Here is a 16693-nt window from a genome sequence, read left to right on the forward strand (position 1 = left end):
TTTAAGTGAATCCTCTCATTTCATCCTTGTGTCATACGTCATGATCGTCTCCGTTTCACAGCTAAAGAAACTGAATCTCAGAGAGATTCAAGACCCTTGCCCAGGTATGGTTTTTGAACTATGTTCTTACCCACTGGATTAGTGATACCCACACTGGAGCCCTTGTTGGAATCATCTGTTAACACACAGATTGCTGGGCTCCACCCGGAATTTCTGATTCAGTAGGTCTGGGGTACTAGCATCAGGATTTTGTTAAATATCCAAATGCTCAGGCCTCACGCCAGACGTTCTGAGTCAGAAGCTGCATTCTAACAGGGTCCCCAGATGACTCCCATGCACATTCAAGTTTGAGTCTAGATAAATTGCCCTTGAACTTTGCTTGGACTGCCCAAAGAGAACAGAGATCGAGGCAGTCGCATCACTTTTGACCTCTCATCCCCCTAGCTTGCCAGGCAGGCATGGAGGAGCCCTTTCCTCCCCAGTTTGGAAGTTGCAGTGCACATTATTTGGTGGCCACGTGCAAGTCCATGCCTGCAAGCTCCAAAACGCGGCAGCTCCTGATGTTTCTCATGGCAGTTGCGTTACCAAACAGAAATCACTTCGCGGGGCTTCAGTCCGTCAGCCCTCCCCCAAGTTAAATTGCTTCTGAGATTAAGAACCCTTCTTTTTTTTTTTTTTTTTTTTCCTTTTTAAACTACTAGATAAGTAGCAGAGCAGCCCTGGAAGGCAGAATGTCTAACCCTAGGGAAACTTGTACATGTGATGCACACAGAGCTAGGGGAATCCTGTGGTTTATGGGAAAAACTTTCGTGCTGGGAAATAAACCAGTCTTTAGAAAGAGGTCAGCTGGGATGGGGGACAGGGAAAGGGTGCTTTACCCTGTCTTGTCTCTCTACAAAGTGACCAGTTGGAATAGTTTTCTCCCAGTGAAAACAGTGATAATAAAATCCTATCTAGTGATGACTATGTGCCAGGCTCTGTGCACAGCACTTTACATCATTATCTCATTTCCTCCCTTTGGAAACACTATGGGGTAAGTCCTGCAGAATTCTTATCCCACTTCAAAGATAAAGCAATCGAGGCTGAAAGCAAAGTGTCCATAGTCACACAGCTGGCAAAAACAAGGGAAGGAAGAAAGGAAATTCAGGCTGTCTAACTCCCGTAAGCCTACACCATGCCCAGAACCATTCTGCCTGCTGAGAGACAGCATTGGATGAAACAGACCCCCCATGCCTTCAAGAAGCTTCCATGCTTGCGGGTAATAGGACACCAACAACTTGCAAATTCATCTTGATGCTCCAATTACAACAAAAGCGTAAACCTCCTTCAGTCTGGACTTGAGCTGCAGAAAAGCTTACTGTGTACTCCGAAGAATTTAAATATTCATTATGTAATTAATGCTGTTCAGTCTCACACACACATACACACACAAAAACTGAGACTTTTTTAAAGAACAGCTTAAGTACTTATCGATTGAGAACTTTTATAACTCTCAAAATGGAGGCATCCCCATATCTCTACAGGTATTTTAAATGAATTGAATTAATCATAGGCTTAAAAGTCTCTTGCGATCTTCGTTAACTTCCCTGGGTTTAATTAAAACATCTGTGCACTTTTAATTTATCGATTCATCCAACTCATATGTCATGTTTTTAACACACCCCAGCATGCTCTGCATCATTTTTAACCCGATTTCCACTTAACTAAAGCAATTAAATTCACCCCGGATTAATTAAAGCATCCATACTTTCGTGCTTAAGTCAGCGTGTGCTTCTTTCCCCACATGGCTCCTGAATGTCAGAGATTTGACACACCTGATGAGTTTTTTGTCCTTCTGGAAATTCTTCCCTGAATCACTTTCTTGCTTATTAATGTGCCATTTGACAGAATGGGAATGAGGAAGTTGGTGCAGCTGAACTTTGGCCCTCTGAGCCGGGGACTCTGACCCCATCTGTCAGAATGCACCATCTGGTTTCCTCTCTTCACGGGGGTCCTGCCGGCTCTTGCCCCCACTGAAACCAACTAAAGCGTCTGAGTACTCTGGGCAGGACGGTGGCAGGGGTTGGGGGAGGGCTGTTCAGGTCAGAGATGAGCATCACAGTCAGGATGGCTGGTGATCTTTGCATTTGTATTTCATAATCACTCCTAGCTCTCTTTCCAACTTCCTCTCTCTCTCTCCTTCCCTACATACACAGTCCTTTATTGCTCTGCCCATTTAATAGGTCAGGAAAACTGAGATGCCAAGGTCAACAGACTTCCTGCTTGGGCACGGTGAGCCAGGGAGCTGTCCACAGAGTGACAAATCATCTCCCTGAAAACTAGATTTGATTTGCTGCCATCCACTGGGATGGAGAGAGCCCATCCCCTCAGCCATGGCAGCATTGGGTGTAAGCAGCCTTATTTTTTTCCCCGATCAGATAAGCCAAAAATATTTCTCATTATCATTTTTATCTGTACTTACTTAATTTTGAAGGAAGCTGAGTATCTTGTCTTACCTTTATTGGCAACTTATATTATTTCTGATATGTGCTTTGCCTAGGTTTTCATTCATCTGTTTATTAATTTGCTAGAGTTCTTTGCGTATTTCAGATATCAAACGTTATGCTGTAAAACATGAGAAAAAAATATTTCTTCCCAGAGTTGCTTGTCCCTTAATTTTGCTTAGGGTATCCTTTGTCACAGAGAAGATATTAATTCTTTATAATCAAATCTGATCCTCTGTTCCTTCATGGTTTCTAGAATTTATGTCTTACATATCTCCCTCCCAGGAAAATAAAATTAGTCTCCAGTATTTTTTCAAATACTTTGGTAGTTTTTGTTTTTCTGTTTAGGTCATTAATCTGTATGGAATTTTTTTTAACTTTAAGTTCAGGGGTGCAAGTGTGGGTTCGTTACATAGGTAAACTTGTGTCATGGGGGGTTGTTGTACAGATTATTCCATCACTCAGGTATTAAGCCTAGCGCCCACTAGTTATTTTTCCTGATCCTCTCTCTCCTCCCACCCTCTACCCTCCAGAAGGTCCCAGTATGTGTTTTTTCCCTGTATGTGTCCATGTGTTCTCATCATTTAGCTCCTACTTATGAGAATATACAATATTTGGTTTTCTGTTCGTTAGTTTGCTAAGGATAATGGCCTCCAGCTCCATCCATGTCCCTGCAAAGGACATGATCCCATTCCTTTTTATTGCTGCATAGTATGGAATTTATTTTTGAATACAGTGTGCAGTGGGCGGGGGGGGGGTCAAACTTTATTACTTTTCTACCAGATGGATTGCCAATTGCAGGGATCTTGCTAGAAGGGAAACTCACCTTTCTGACACTGGTTTGCTCAGCACCAAGCTAAGTCCACAACCTCAAAAGCCAGTGGGGTTGCCTTTTGAGTTTTGGTTTGAGGGGTCACCGAGCTTTGTTTGCCTGGCCTCCATGACCTAAATATTACATCCTCAATTGCTTCAGGAGGATCAATGCATCTTCTTTTCTCCATCACTTATCCTCTACCACCTAACCAAGCTACTAACCCATGTGAGTTACTCATCACTATTGCTGACTAACTGGGATATAAGGCAACCAACTATTAGTGCTATTTTGACGATTTGCCTGGAGTACTAGCTTCAAGTATTTTCACCTCTCTTTTCCAAAGAAATTTTCAAACAGACTTCAGCTGGGTGTAGTGGCTCATGCCTATAATCCCAGCACTTTGGGAGGCTGAGGCAGGAGGATCACCTGAGTTGAGGACTTCGAGTCCAGACAGGGCAACATAAAGAGACCCCGTCTCTACCGAATTTTTTTTTTAAATTAGCTGGGCATGGTGGTGCACACCTGTGGTCCCAGATGCTCTGGAGGCTGAGGCAGGAGAATTGCTTGAGTCAGGGAGGTAGAGTCTGCAGTGAATGGTGATCCTGCCACTGCACTCCAGCCTGGGTGACAGAGCAAGACCATGTCTCCAAATAATAATAATAATAATAGTAATAAAATGAAATAAGTATAAAACAGACTTCAAATAATTTTTTAAATACATTATTTGAAATTCCCTCTACACATCTAGTCCAGCCCACAAATTATTTGTGCAGATGTAGGCATTTTCCCTCTGCTTTTATGACTGAGCCTCTCCAATATCCTTAACTTTTCTCCACGTATTCTCTTTACTGCAAGCTCCAAGTGGACAGGTGGCTTATCCTGTTACTTCCCACTGAGTAAATAACACTGATAATTCATCTCATCCCTTACAGAGAACTTTGTGGGGGCTGGGAGGGCGGGGGAGCTTCAGCTGGATCATTAAAATGAGCTTTATACCATTTAGGTGAATCTAAATTCTGTCATTTTTTTGTCATCAGCCTGTTAACTTGTCAGTTATTAGTGGTTGTGGTAATTTATTTTTCTTCTGTGGGAGTCTTAGAGCTTCCATTTACTAGATTTAGTAAAACAGGAATAGTCAATTTGTACAAACATTTTAATTAATTTTACATAGAAGCTTGAATGCACAATGTTCTGCTCCCGTAAGCCTTAGGAAGAAGAGAGACATGCGGAGACAGAAAACGCTCCACTTTCATACCTGACCAATCACAACCAACTCCCTCCCACACCAGAAAAGACTGGAAGAAGAAAAAATGAAATCTTTCCATTAGTATGATTTGACATACGTCTGGTGATTGCTAGTGTTTGTGTGTGCGTGTTTGAGACCTATGGCATTTCTTTATTTTATTAGCCCTTGAAGTCAGATTAGAGATTCAGTTTGAAATTTTGTAAGGGAGCATCTCTTAATTTGCCTACCAAGTGTCAGCCACTCCTGTGAGCCATACATGTTACCTCACTGAACCCTTCCATCAATGCTGAAAGGCCATTTTTTGAAGGGGAAATTGGGTCTTTGAGAGGTGCAGTAATCTTGCCAAAATCCACAGCTGGTAAGGTACAGGTTTGGTTTCGAATCCAGGTCTTTCTGGCATCAAAACCCTTGCTACTTCCACTTCTGCTCCGTAATACTTCTTGGCACAGAGTAGGCAGTCAGTGTCATTTTTCTATAACCTGTCATAAAAAATAATGCAGCTTGCATGATAGTAAAAATATAAGACTTATTAATACAGGAGGTTCCCCATTTCACATCCAGCCTCTTGAACAAAACATCAGCCTGACCTCAGATACTGGGATGCTCTGGGTTGAGTTATGTCTGAGAATGAATCAGTTGCCCCAGAGGGAAGGTGCTCTCCAATGCAGGACACCCCAGCCACCACTGGAGGGAGCTCATCTGGTGTTTCTGCACTCTGCCCCATGGCAACTGGATTACTATAAAGTCTCGCTCCTGTGATGAGCCGCCTTCCACTTCTTTGTATGGCATAAGCAAAGCCCATTGAGTGTCCTGCTTTCCAGTGAACATCACAGTGTTTTTGCATTTTTTACCACACTCCCAGTGAGCACGCGGCAAACCCTGAAGGAAGGCTGCGTTTGGAAGGTGGAGAACTCTGTGACCTATTTTTTATATTTTTCACTGAGTAATTTAAGTAGGTCAAATTTTAAATTTGATTTCCCAAGCACCTGGTTTTAAATAAAACCCATTCTTACCTTCTAGACAATCCTGTTTTTTTCTACTTGAAGTTTATGCAGAAGAGGAACAGTGTCACTATGAATAAAGAAAATAATTCGGTCAGGCACGGTGGCTCACACCTGTAATCCCAGCACTTTGGGAGGCCAAGGCGGGTGGATCACCTGAGGTCAGGAGTTCGAGACCAGCCTAGCCAACATGGTGAAATCCCATCTCTACTAAAAATACAAAAATTAGCCGGGCATGGTAGCAGGCACCTGTAGTCCCGCTACTCAGGAGGCTGAGGCAGGAGAATCGCTTGAACCCGGGAGGCAGAGGTTGCAGTGAGCCAAGATCATGCCACTGCACTCCAGCCTGAGTGACAGAGCAAGGCTCTGTCTCAAAAAAAGAAAGAAGGAAGGAAGGGAAGGAAGGGAAGGAAGGGAAGGAAGGAAAGGAGGGAAGGAAGGGAAGGAAGGAAGGAAGGAAGGAAGGAAGGAAGGAAGGAAGGAAGGAAGGGAAAGGAAAGGAAGGAAAGAAAAAAAAAGAAAAAAATTTTATCTATATTTTTTATTGATTAAAAAAGACAAAAATTTTGCACCTTACTTTCTACCATCCTCCACCTTTTGGGAGGAAGGAGGATGTAATAGGAGACCAGTGTTGGTGATTTGATGTAACTTTCTCTGCCATCCGTGACAGCCCATCCAATCTATAACCCTTAGGTCAGAGAGTCAGAAACAGCCCTTGGAAGCTCATTTAAATACACGTTGTGCAACCATACTTCTCGCTGTTTTTTATTTCAGTGCAGGGCTGGAAGGGGGCTGAGAAGTGATGTTGATTCTAGTCTTCCCACCAGGAAATACCTTCACTGTTACCTAGATCAGAAATGACAAGTAGGTTTTCTCTGGAATACCAACTCTGCCTGCTTGCCGGTCTCAGCCTGCACACTGCATTGACGGTTTCGAGGCTCTATCTGGGCTCAGGGGAACAAGATGCCGTGATCAATTAGTGATGTCTGTAGAGGTGTGGGAAGGTAGTACTATAGATCATGTGCACACGCCTGCCATCCCAGACCTAGAGCTTAGCATGAGTCTCAGGAGGAACTGGCATGGAACAAACTTAACTCTGTCTTAAATCCCTCTCAAAACTTTAAGAAAGTTCAGAGTTTCTTGTGCTACTTCATATTTGCATGTTCCCTAATTCTTAATTGGGCACCCTGGGTTCAAAGCTCTTTTTCTACCCTCTGTTAGACAATCAGCCTCTGTAGCAACTCTGTACAAACTCCTCTGTTTAAGCATCCTGTAGATAGAGAGTATGATCCCTACATTTAGACAGTTCGTCTAAATTCAATATGCGGCTTTGAAGTTCTCACTTTTGAACTCATTCTTCTCCTCTGGTAAATTCATAAGCATAAGAATTCTACTGAAAATAGCGCCCCCAGTAGTTATGGCAACTGTCCTATTATAAAGCATTTTGAGGGGAAATGACCCCTCAATCGTATGTCAACTATTGAGATACTTACATTTCAAATCAGTTTGCAATTAAGGTAAAACATGCACTTCCCCAGAAAAAGGCATTGTGTTTACAGCATGAGATTCACTCCAGGGACTGTTCTTCCCACGTCTTTCATAAATGGCCATTTAGTGCTTGCCCGCAACCCCCCACCACTGGGAAATCTCTGAATATCAGGAACACAGGAGAAATGTTTACTTAATCAAGCCACCATTGATAAACGTAGCAATGGAAGGAAATCAACAATGATAAACATAGTCCCTGTCTTGAATAGCTGACTATATATCTTTGGGAAATTAGACACGCACAGAGGAAAGTTAATTACCATAAAAACTACATAGAAACATGACAACAAAAGGGGATTCATGAGGCTGGGTGGGGCAGGTGACTAGGAAGTGACATGATTAGGTATGCCATCGCTGAGTGGCACAGGGCGCTCACCCGGGTTGTAGATGTGTGTACACACACATGCAGAATTCTCGGAACCTGTGCATTCCAAACCATGGATAACACCAGGAGTCACTGAAACACCTGCATCCGTCATTTCTGAAGGCCTCTAATGCCACTTCCATAGCCGGAGGATTTTAGGCCCAAATTTGAAGGCAGGTTGGAAAGTTAGGCTCTTTACAAACTGATGCGGAAATGAGAAGTCCAAGACCTGAAGGAGACCGACCACTGAAATCCCATTCTTGATGAACTCTGAAAGGTGGGAATTGGCACATTTGAGGCCAAACTGATTAAAGCTGTAGGTAATCTCCTCCCAGACAATCCCCACTGATTTTCCAACCTTCTTCTCACCAACAGATGGAAGAGGGTACAGCTGATGGGCGAACTACTAGAAATTTCATGCCTTCAGCCTGCCTGCTCCCTTTTCTTTTTTTTCTAATAAGTCAAGCATATTTAATCGTTATGCTTTATTACACATGTTACACTTTGAAGGAGGCACAATGACAGTAGTCCCTCCTTATCCTCAGGGGATACATTCCAAGACCCCCTGTGTGTACCTGAAACCACAAATGGTACAAACCCTACACATACCATGTTTTCCCTACACATGCATATCTAGGACAAAGGTTAATTTATCAGTTAGGCCCAGTAAGAGATTAACAATAATAATAAAATAGAACAATTAAAGCAGTAGCTGTAACATAAATTATGTGGATGTAATTTCTCTAAATTCCTTATTGTACCATATTCACCTATTTTCAGACAGCAGTTGACCATGGGTAACTGAAACTGAAAGTGAAACCGCGGATACAGGGGGACTACTTCATTTCTTCATGGTATAGATAAAACTGAGGCAGTGAGACTTTCAGTGGCTCAGCTGTGTCTCATCCCCACTTCCTTTTTAATAGGCATAAACTTATTAGGAATAAGAGTCGACTGATCTGAGGGTAAAATAATCAGCAAAATGGATTCTGATCTCCAATACCAACAACAGAACAACCATAAGGACGTCAGTGTCGCTTAGTGAAGGGTACCACTTCAAAGTTGGGCCAACCTGGTTCCCAGCCGGGCTCCCCTGCTTGTGGGCTGTGTGACTGGACACGTCACTTCCCCTGTCTGAGCCTCACCTGCAAAAATGGGGACCATGACTGTAGCCTCCACCTCATAGGGTGATTACGATGATGAAGTCATGAATTGCACATAAAGCCTTCTTTCTATACCGTGCCCAGCACATAACAAGCATTTAATTGGTGGTAGCTGCTGTTATCAGTAGCACTTGTGTTGTTTATCTGGCAATGGTTCTGCACCTGCACAGCCAGAGTCCCCAGCCTAGAACACTGTAAGCCAAGCCCCAAGGCCAGACAGCTCTACCTCCTTAGACTGCCATAGCCCCTCGGATGCTGGCCCTTCGTGACCTAGTGCTCTGTCTTTGGTTTGTGCAGCTGCCTGCCCTGTCCTGTGCAGTGGGAATGGACAATATTCTAAAGGGACGTGCCAGTGCTACAGCGGCTGGAAAGGTGCAGAGTGCGACGTGCCCATGAATCAGTGCATCGATCCTTCCTGCGGGGGCCACGGCTCCTGCATTGATGGGAACTGTGTCTGCTCTGCTGGCTACAAAGGCGAGCACTGTGAGGAAGGTAAGCCCGCCGGCCCCGGGGCTAGGCAGCAGTGGAGGGAGGCGTTTGCAGGGCCTGACCTTTGCTAATGAGCCCAGTCCTGGGCTGCGTGTTTTGCAAGAGAAGTTTCAACATTTTGCACAAAACAACTTCAAACTCCTTTGCTTTGATAAATTTCTTTGGTTGTAGAACAAGAAAAGCCTATGGAGATGGTTCTGGAAGAAACGTTTTGTTTTACTCTCCTTTGTAGAAATTGATTCCTTTTCTCTTTCACCTTTGTTTTTCTCTTTAAATTGCTCTCTCTGCCTTTGTCTTTCTGTCTTCTCTTTCCTTCTACTCCTCCTCCCCTTCCTTCTCTTTCTTTTCCTCTTTTGTTCCTTTCCCTCGCCCTATCTTTCTTCCTCTTTTCTCCTGCTTTATTTAGTAATTGGGAATTACTAAAGCTATTCAGAGAAAAGAAACAAGAATTCCTAAGCCCCTTGCCTCCCTTCCAAACAAAAAGCTGTTTGTTGTTATTGTTGTTGTTACTAACTCTTCCTGGTAATCTAAGGCCCGTGTATGTCTGTGTAAATATTTCAGCAAAAATTAATATCAATAGACAGCAGTCAGGCTTGAAAGACTGTAGGTTTTTTATGTCATTTAGAAACACCATGTAGGGCAAATTAGCTTGGTTACTTACAATTGCACAAAACTAGAGGAGAGTGAGGATGCAGCAAGAGGGACGGGATTTGATGGATCCTGAAAATCTCATCCTGGCAGACACGTAAGGGCCTTTCACACACATGGGTGAAAATCAGGGATATAATAAACTGAATCTAATCTGACAATATGGTCAGAGATCAGGCTTGGAGATCAGGAGAGGGGGACATAGAAGAGGGGATACAGGAACAGGGAGAAAGAGCACCTCTCTGGAGGGGATCCAAAAGCAGCTGTAACTACTCCTAGTTACCTTGATCAGTTATTTCAGATAAATTATTTTGTGCCAATATGTTGGGACTGACTTGCAGTAGCTATAAGGCAAGAGAAAGCTATGCTGCCTGTCAGCCTTCCTGCTCTGTATTTGGCCTTGCAGAATATGGTCTCTGGTTGCCATTTGATTACTTGTCACCATATAAAGAATTGGCCACAGCTGGTAGGAAGGTAAGACCATAGACCCTCTCAGCCCCTTGCCCATTCCCCAATCTCTGAATTGGCTTCATCATTGTCTTCCAGCTGAGGCTCCTTTTCTCTAAGTCCATCTCCCAGTGAAATGCCCTCACACAACTCAAACAGCCCTTTTCCCTCCCATGTCCCCAACAGAAATAGAAGTGTCAACTTGCCCAACAAACTAAGGGGAAAAAGTGAAGCCCCTGCCTATTCTGCATGAACTTGATGTAACCACCCAAGATATCCCCATAGAAAAGATCCTGTTGGATGCCATATGCATTCTGTGTTCCTCATGGCCAGGCTAACAAGGGATCTCAGGTTTTATGAGGTTCTCAGATGCTAATGGATTCATTCTTTCATCCCAACAACCAATGGATCTCCAGAGTTCTATACAAAATAACCAATCATCACAGCTCTCACCACAAAGTAATGACAGTGCTTTGTACTTAGATACACCCACATAGGGTTCCCTTGTGAAACCCCGCATTTCATCGTTTTTAGAACTATGGCTACCAAAAGTCAGCTTCCATAACATTATTCCTCTAAGATTTTTCAATATATCAGCAGTAATGCCCTTAATGGGGACCAGAAGTCTGACCCCCAGATCTTCACTTGCTCAGTTCTCTATATAATTTTTCCTCTATTATAAAAGGTAGCCTCCCTATGTCTGCATCATAAAGAATTGGGAGTTTGGATGGAGGAAATACTGATTTAATAACCCTGCTTGAAAGGTTAAAGTTCTTAAAGATAAATGGATTGCAGGAGGCAAAGCTGCATTCGCTGAAAACATAAGAGAGGCCAATAATACGACAAGAAAGGTTAAAACGACCTTTTGCATGCATCATTTGGAGAAAGGAAAGTGCTAGGGCAACAACATTGCCAGTCTTCGAATTTTTTCTCTCCAGTAAGATTATACACAGCTGTATGCATGGAATCTCAAGTGATTTCTCAACTTTCTCACTATCCCACCCAGTCTTATTTAAATGTTCAGAGTGAATTAACCATCCAACCAAACAAGCCACGTGAATCATTATGAAAGGATGAAATCTCCTCCGTTGATTTCTGCTACCCAAAAAGAATGAACCGAGGTGATTCATATGCTGTTTTCAAAATAGGAAATGGAATCAGAAAGTCTGGATCAGCACTTTTTCTTCCATTTAGCTTTTTTATTTCTGATATTCGTCATAGTCATAACGTTCAAACAATTTACCTGAAATGGCCATGGCAATGAAATCAATAGTTGCCATCCCTTCGTTTTTCCTGCATAAACATGGTTGTACTATTAACAAATTTGCCCAAGAAAATGAAAGGATGTATTCGTGAGGTTTCATTCAATGATGTGTAGGGGAGTGGGAAGGTGATGAGAGAGGAGTTGACATATTAGTTTAAGTCAGCCATGTTTTCATGTCAGTTTCATGGTTGAGTCATTTTTCAATGACATTTAACTTCATAAATGTAATTCATGGTTCTTCAGGGGCTTATAGTACATATTGTTTGTAAAACTCCTTGACCTCCTTTTTTATCCTTAGGGATAGAAATTGCATTCACAACCCTTTTTTGTCAAACCTACAGAGGGCCCAAGACTAAATGAGTTCTAATGATTTCAGCTGCCAGGGGGCTGATGTTTCGAGGCACATGGTACTTAGCTGGTAAAGGCCACTGTCCCCTTTTAAGTGTAACACTGTTTCTATTTATAAAGCTTCGTAAAATGCCATAGTCCCTCCTGCCTGCTAAAGGCTCTAAGGACGTGGCCACAAGAGCATCTTAGGAAATCGGAACCAAATTTAAAATTCATAGTAAAACTGCTCCTCTTGAAGTTTGAATTTAGTTATTCCATCCACTGCTGTAATTATATAGCACAAAGGGCATATTTACTGGTATCACTGACCAGAGAAAGGGTTAGCTCATATTTTTAGATACAATAAATGGTTTTTTTGATGGCATTCTAGTACCGGCGCTAATAAATCTCTGTGGATTTTCCTCCTTCCTTTATACTATAATTCAGGATAGAGAAGAGAGAGCTAATTTATCTGGAAGAAAAATGCCATTTTCATTTTTTTAGTGTATTACTTTTTATTATTTCATCCTTCTAAGAAAAAGATTGTGATTTTTTTTTTTTGAAAGCTCCTAGCTGCTGGCACCTCACCAAACATTTTAAATGGCTAATTATAGGTTAAGAACAATTTTTGAAGCAATAAGCCACAAGATATTTTTGTGTATATTTTGATTTTTCCTTACTAGAAATGGGGGCAGAGTGAAAAATTAGAATTTCAGAATTTCCTTTATTGGAACAATATAAACATGATGGGTTCTGAATGAATTTGTTCATAATTTACAGATCCCCAAATACGATTTTTTTTCAAAAGCAAGAAAGAAGTTGTTAGCACAATTTCTGCTTCCTATCGGTCCTTTCTCTACACAGGAAGTGTGTCCCATCAATGACAAATGCTTATAGCACAGTCTGTCCTTCATTCTTGCAGCAACTGTGTATTGAACACCTGGTATATTCCCTTACCTGTGCTAGGCATGAGACACCAAAGGCCCTGCACAGACCTTTGTCTTTTTTGTTTTGTTTTGTTTTTTGAGACGGAGTCTCGCTCTGTCACCCAGGCTGGGGTGCAGTGGCGCAATCTCGGCTCACTGCAAGCTCCGCCTCCCGGGTTCACACCATACTCCTGCCTCAGCCTCCCAAGTAGCTGGGACTACAGGCACCGGCCACCACGCCTGGCTAATTTTTTGTATTTTTAGTAGAGACAGAGTTTCACCGTGTTAGCCAGGATGGTCTCGGTCTCCTGACCTCGTGATCCACCCACCTCGGCCTCCCAAAGTGCTGGGATTACAAGTGTGAGTCACCACGCCTGGCCCGCCCTTTGCCTTCTATGTGTTCGATGCTTTCAGCTCAAGTTTACGTTCAGATGTGCTCCACCACCCTAAATGGAGCAAATCTGAAGGTATCAAATGGGCTTATGTCATCAGGAGTTATACTCCCCGAGACAATGAATTCAACTGTAAAGTGATAATAACAAGATTATGTAACATCATCATAAATATCTCCAACTAATAATAAGCAACCAAAATTCACCTTTGGGGGAGTGTACCCCTGATTTTTTTTTAATCACTGTTTTTTCCCCATGCCTGAAACGGTTTTGAAATGACTTCCATATATAATACCTTCCTGAGAATATCCAAATGGGATCGTGAGAAATATCTCTTACCACTGAAAATTATTATTTTTGCCTCAAGGGAGGGCTGCCCTTTGGAAACTTCATGGAATATTGTGATTTCCAGTAAGTCCAAATTTCTCAAGTCTGTTGTCCCTCAGGACTAGTTAATTTGTGGCATGGATACTCTAAATAATGTCATATTTAGAGCCAATACGTCATCAGTATTAAAATACACCAATGGCTGGGCATGGTGGCTCACACCAGTAATCCCAGCACTTTGGGAGGCTGAGATAGGAGGATTGCTTGAGCCCAGGAGTTCACAACTAGCCTGGGCAACATAGCAAGACCCCATTTCTAGAGAAAAAAAAAAAAACATAGCTGGACATGGCAATGTGTGTCCGTGGTCCTAACTAGTTGGCAGACTAAGGCAGTAGGATCACTTGAGCTCAGGTGTTCGAGACTACAATGAGCTATGATCATACCACTGCATTCTAGCCTGGGTGACAGAGCAAGACCCTGTCTCAGAAAACAAACAAACAAACAAAAAAGGCATTATTTTGTGCCCCATAGGGAAAGAAAAAAAGACACTCAGCATAAAAAATGTCTTAGGAGATCCTACAGAAAGCTGAGACCCTGAGGAATTATCATCTGAATATAACAGTGAATTATTTAGAGACCAGAAGTCTTACATATTTCAATCTTGGCATTGTGGAAGGAGAGAAAACAAAATTTTCTGAGAATTTAAACCATAAGACGGTACGCATACACAGGAAGGATTTAATAACACTGTCAGCGTGGTCCATAAAAACTTCAAGAATAGAATTCAAAGTGGTCTCAAGCTAGCTGTGCCCCCAGGTGATAGAAGAAGCAATCCTTTAATCTGGGCCAACAGGCCTGATTTGGAAGCCGTGAAAACGGGAGAAATATGTCTTAATCAAGTAAGGTGATGATACATCCACATTTGTCTGATCCACAAAGCCATATCTGAGCCCTGTGCTAGACCACCATTTCTCATTCAAACCGTATATTACACAAAGAACCCTCTTCTCCAAATGACATTGCATCATTTCCTGAGAATACATAGGAATACATAAGAAAGCTGGGCTTCCTCTAAAAGGCCCTATTTATTCAACCCTTAGATTGAATGGAGGTCCCAGGTTTGATATCATATTCTCATGCAAAAAGTCCTGTCCTCAAGAACTGGCCTTTGCAGCTCGCTCCTCTCCTCACTCTGAGTTTATTCAAGTTACGTACTGGATGTATATCCACTCTATTAAGATGGCCAAACAATCAGACAGTGAAACAGGCAAGAACCACAATGACTGGACTCTGGCTATCAGCTCATCTGATTGACTGGTAGAAGGTCAGTGCCTCAGCCAGAGATAGCCATCCAGTCCCCTGGTGATTACCTGTAGGAAGGTGATCCCTTTTGGATCATTTTCACACCCAACTTCGCCTCTTCTATACTGCACATTTACTAACTCCTTCAGTGGGTGTGTGCTCAGAGAATGGATACTAATTTTAGACTTAGCCTAAGTGAAACCTCATTAGGAAAGTGACTCATAAGTTTCATTGGTTTTCCTTTTCATCTTTTGTTACCTTTTGAAGTCAAGTATTAGTGAAGTTACAATGAGCCTCTCTACTTTTCTCTCTTATAGTGAGGGGCAATCCAGTTTGACGACACATGTAGAAACATGGCATATATTCACATTCCTATCGCAGATGCTCTGATATGATTCAGTCAAGGTCCTAATCTTTATAAGCACAAGATACTAAAGGTGGAGTGGCATCCTTCTATATCTGACTTCTAATGCTGCTTGAGAAATCCCCTTTTCGTTTCTCTTGTATCTTCTTCAAGTTTGAGATTTGGTGTTTGACAAATAAGAAGGCTTTTACTTTTTATGGGTGTCTTCAGGTGACCACATAAGTATTTCTTGGGCTACTCCATTTGCTAGCAAGTGGATGGGAACTGGTGACCCACTGGTCCATTCAGCAGCAAGCCCATGTCTCATGGTCCATCCTCCATGGGTGATTAATACTTTTATTCTTTGGTTTTTGTTTTTGTTTTTTTCAGTTGATTGCTTGGATCCCACCTGCTCCAGCCACGGAGTCTGTGTGAATGGAGAATGCCTGTGCAGCCCTGGCTGGGGTGGTCTGAACTGTGAGCTGGCGAGGGTCCAGTGCCCAGACCAGTGCAGTGGGCATGGCACGTACCTGCCTGACACGGGCCTCTGCAGCTGCGATCCCAACTGGATGGGTCCCGACTGCTCTGTTGGTAAGCCACAAGGTTTTCTCCTTCCTCTCTCCAACACTCCTGCCCTGTGTTCCATCCCATTCTCAGATGGATGGGAATCTACTCTTAATACTTAGCTGGGGATAAGGGGACTTTGATGAATCACATTGTGTCTTTCTCATTCTCTTCTCCTCAATCGTGGAGTCTGTGATCTTTGAGAAACAAACAAAAAAGCACTGGGTTGGTACCATCACCGCAAATGCATGAGGAGCCCAGGAGGGATGCTTCCATTTGCATTATAGGTTTTCTTATGTACATTCCCTAAAGGTACCAGAAAACAAAACAGAACATTTCAGCCCCAGACAAACTAAATGGAACATCCCATAAAACAGAAAAGGGGCTCCCTCGGGGTGCTGCGTGAACATGTTCTACAGCTCTGTAATACTCCAGTGACAGGAAAATAATGAAGTCGCGCTGTACACTTCATTTTCCTAAAATTTAGAGTATGTGTCTTCCCTCCAGAGTGACCTTAAAAATGGAACAGTTCAACAGTTCAAGCCAGTCCCAACCTTCCTGAGAAAGGTTCTGTTCACACTGACAAGTCCCTATCCAAGCAAGCGATCATTCCGCCCCCTTCCTCTGGGTAGTGAGACAGCTGTCAGATTGCCATGGCAATCAGGAAGGGAATAGACGTGAAGCTTTGCCTACAATGGGAAAGAAATGAATATTTCATTCCAAAAAGAAAAAAAAAAAGAAGAGTCAGTTAAAATGGGCTATTTTGGAATGTCTTCTCAGCCCACTTGACTCTGGCTTCAACTCTGTTGCTGGTGGTCCTGGCAAGGCCGTGCAGATGATGGGAGGAGGCAGGGGTCCTAGATCCAAAACCCAGTTATGCTACAGATATGCTGTGTGACTTTGAGTGAGTCACTGGCCCCACTCCCCGGCCTGGTCTTCCTTCACCTGGCATGCCAAGCCACGCCTCCCTCAATAGACTGATGAAAGGATGAATGTCTGGCACGTGCTTGTCCTCGCGTGAGAGGTCTGGAATACCAGAGAGTGC

General features: G+C 42.9%; 1 protein-coding gene across 33 annotated transcripts in view, besides 3 other annotated features; it reads left to right on the top strand.

Moving 5' to 3' along the window:
* Positions 1–16693, top strand: part of TENM2 (teneurin transmembrane protein 2) — a 1285129-nt gene that overhangs the window by 1130347 nt on the left and 138089 nt on the right. For all 33 annotated transcript variants that reach the window (XM_047417418.1, NM_001395460.1, XM_017009661.2 and 30 more), the window contains 2 exons: positions 8917–9111; positions 15475–15675. In XM_047417418.1, the coding sequence (XP_047273374.1) occupies positions 8917–9111; positions 15475–15675 (396 nt within the window). The remainder of the gene's footprint in view (positions 1–8916; positions 9112–15474; positions 15676–16693) is intronic.
* Positions 921–1480: an enhancer, noted in NCBI's record as "NANOG hESC enhancer chr5:167537301-167537860 (GRCh37/hg19 assembly coordinates)". NCBI's record gives its function as "activates a minimal SCP1, AML or CMV promoter by ChIP-STARR-seq in naive H9 embryonic stem cells {active_cell/tissue: H9 hESC(naive)}" and the evidence as "EXISTENCE:reporter gene assay evidence [ECO:0000049][PMID:30033119]".
* Positions 1069–1363: a silencer, noted in NCBI's record as "tiled region #928; HepG2 Repressive non-DNase unmatched - State 23:Low". NCBI's record gives its function as "represses a minimal TATA promoter and a strong SV40 promoter by Sharpr-MPRA in HepG2 cells {active_cell/tissue: HepG2}" and the evidence as "EXISTENCE:reporter gene assay evidence [ECO:0000049][PMID:27701403]".
* Positions 15051–16250: an enhancer, noted in NCBI's record as "BRD4-independent group 4 enhancer chr5:167551431-167552630 (GRCh37/hg19 assembly coordinates)". NCBI's record gives its function as "activates an origin of replication core promoter dependent on BRD2, P300/CBP, MED14 and CDK7 cofactors, and independent of BRD4, by STARR-seq in HCT116 cells {active_cell/tissue: HCT116}" and the evidence as "EXISTENCE:reporter gene assay evidence [ECO:0000049][PMID:35650434]".

This window comes from Homo sapiens, chromosome 5 (assembly GCF_000001405.40).
Source record: "Homo sapiens chromosome 5, GRCh38.p14 Primary Assembly".
Classification (NCBI taxonomy): domain Eukaryota; kingdom Metazoa; phylum Chordata; class Mammalia; order Primates; family Hominidae; genus Homo; species Homo sapiens.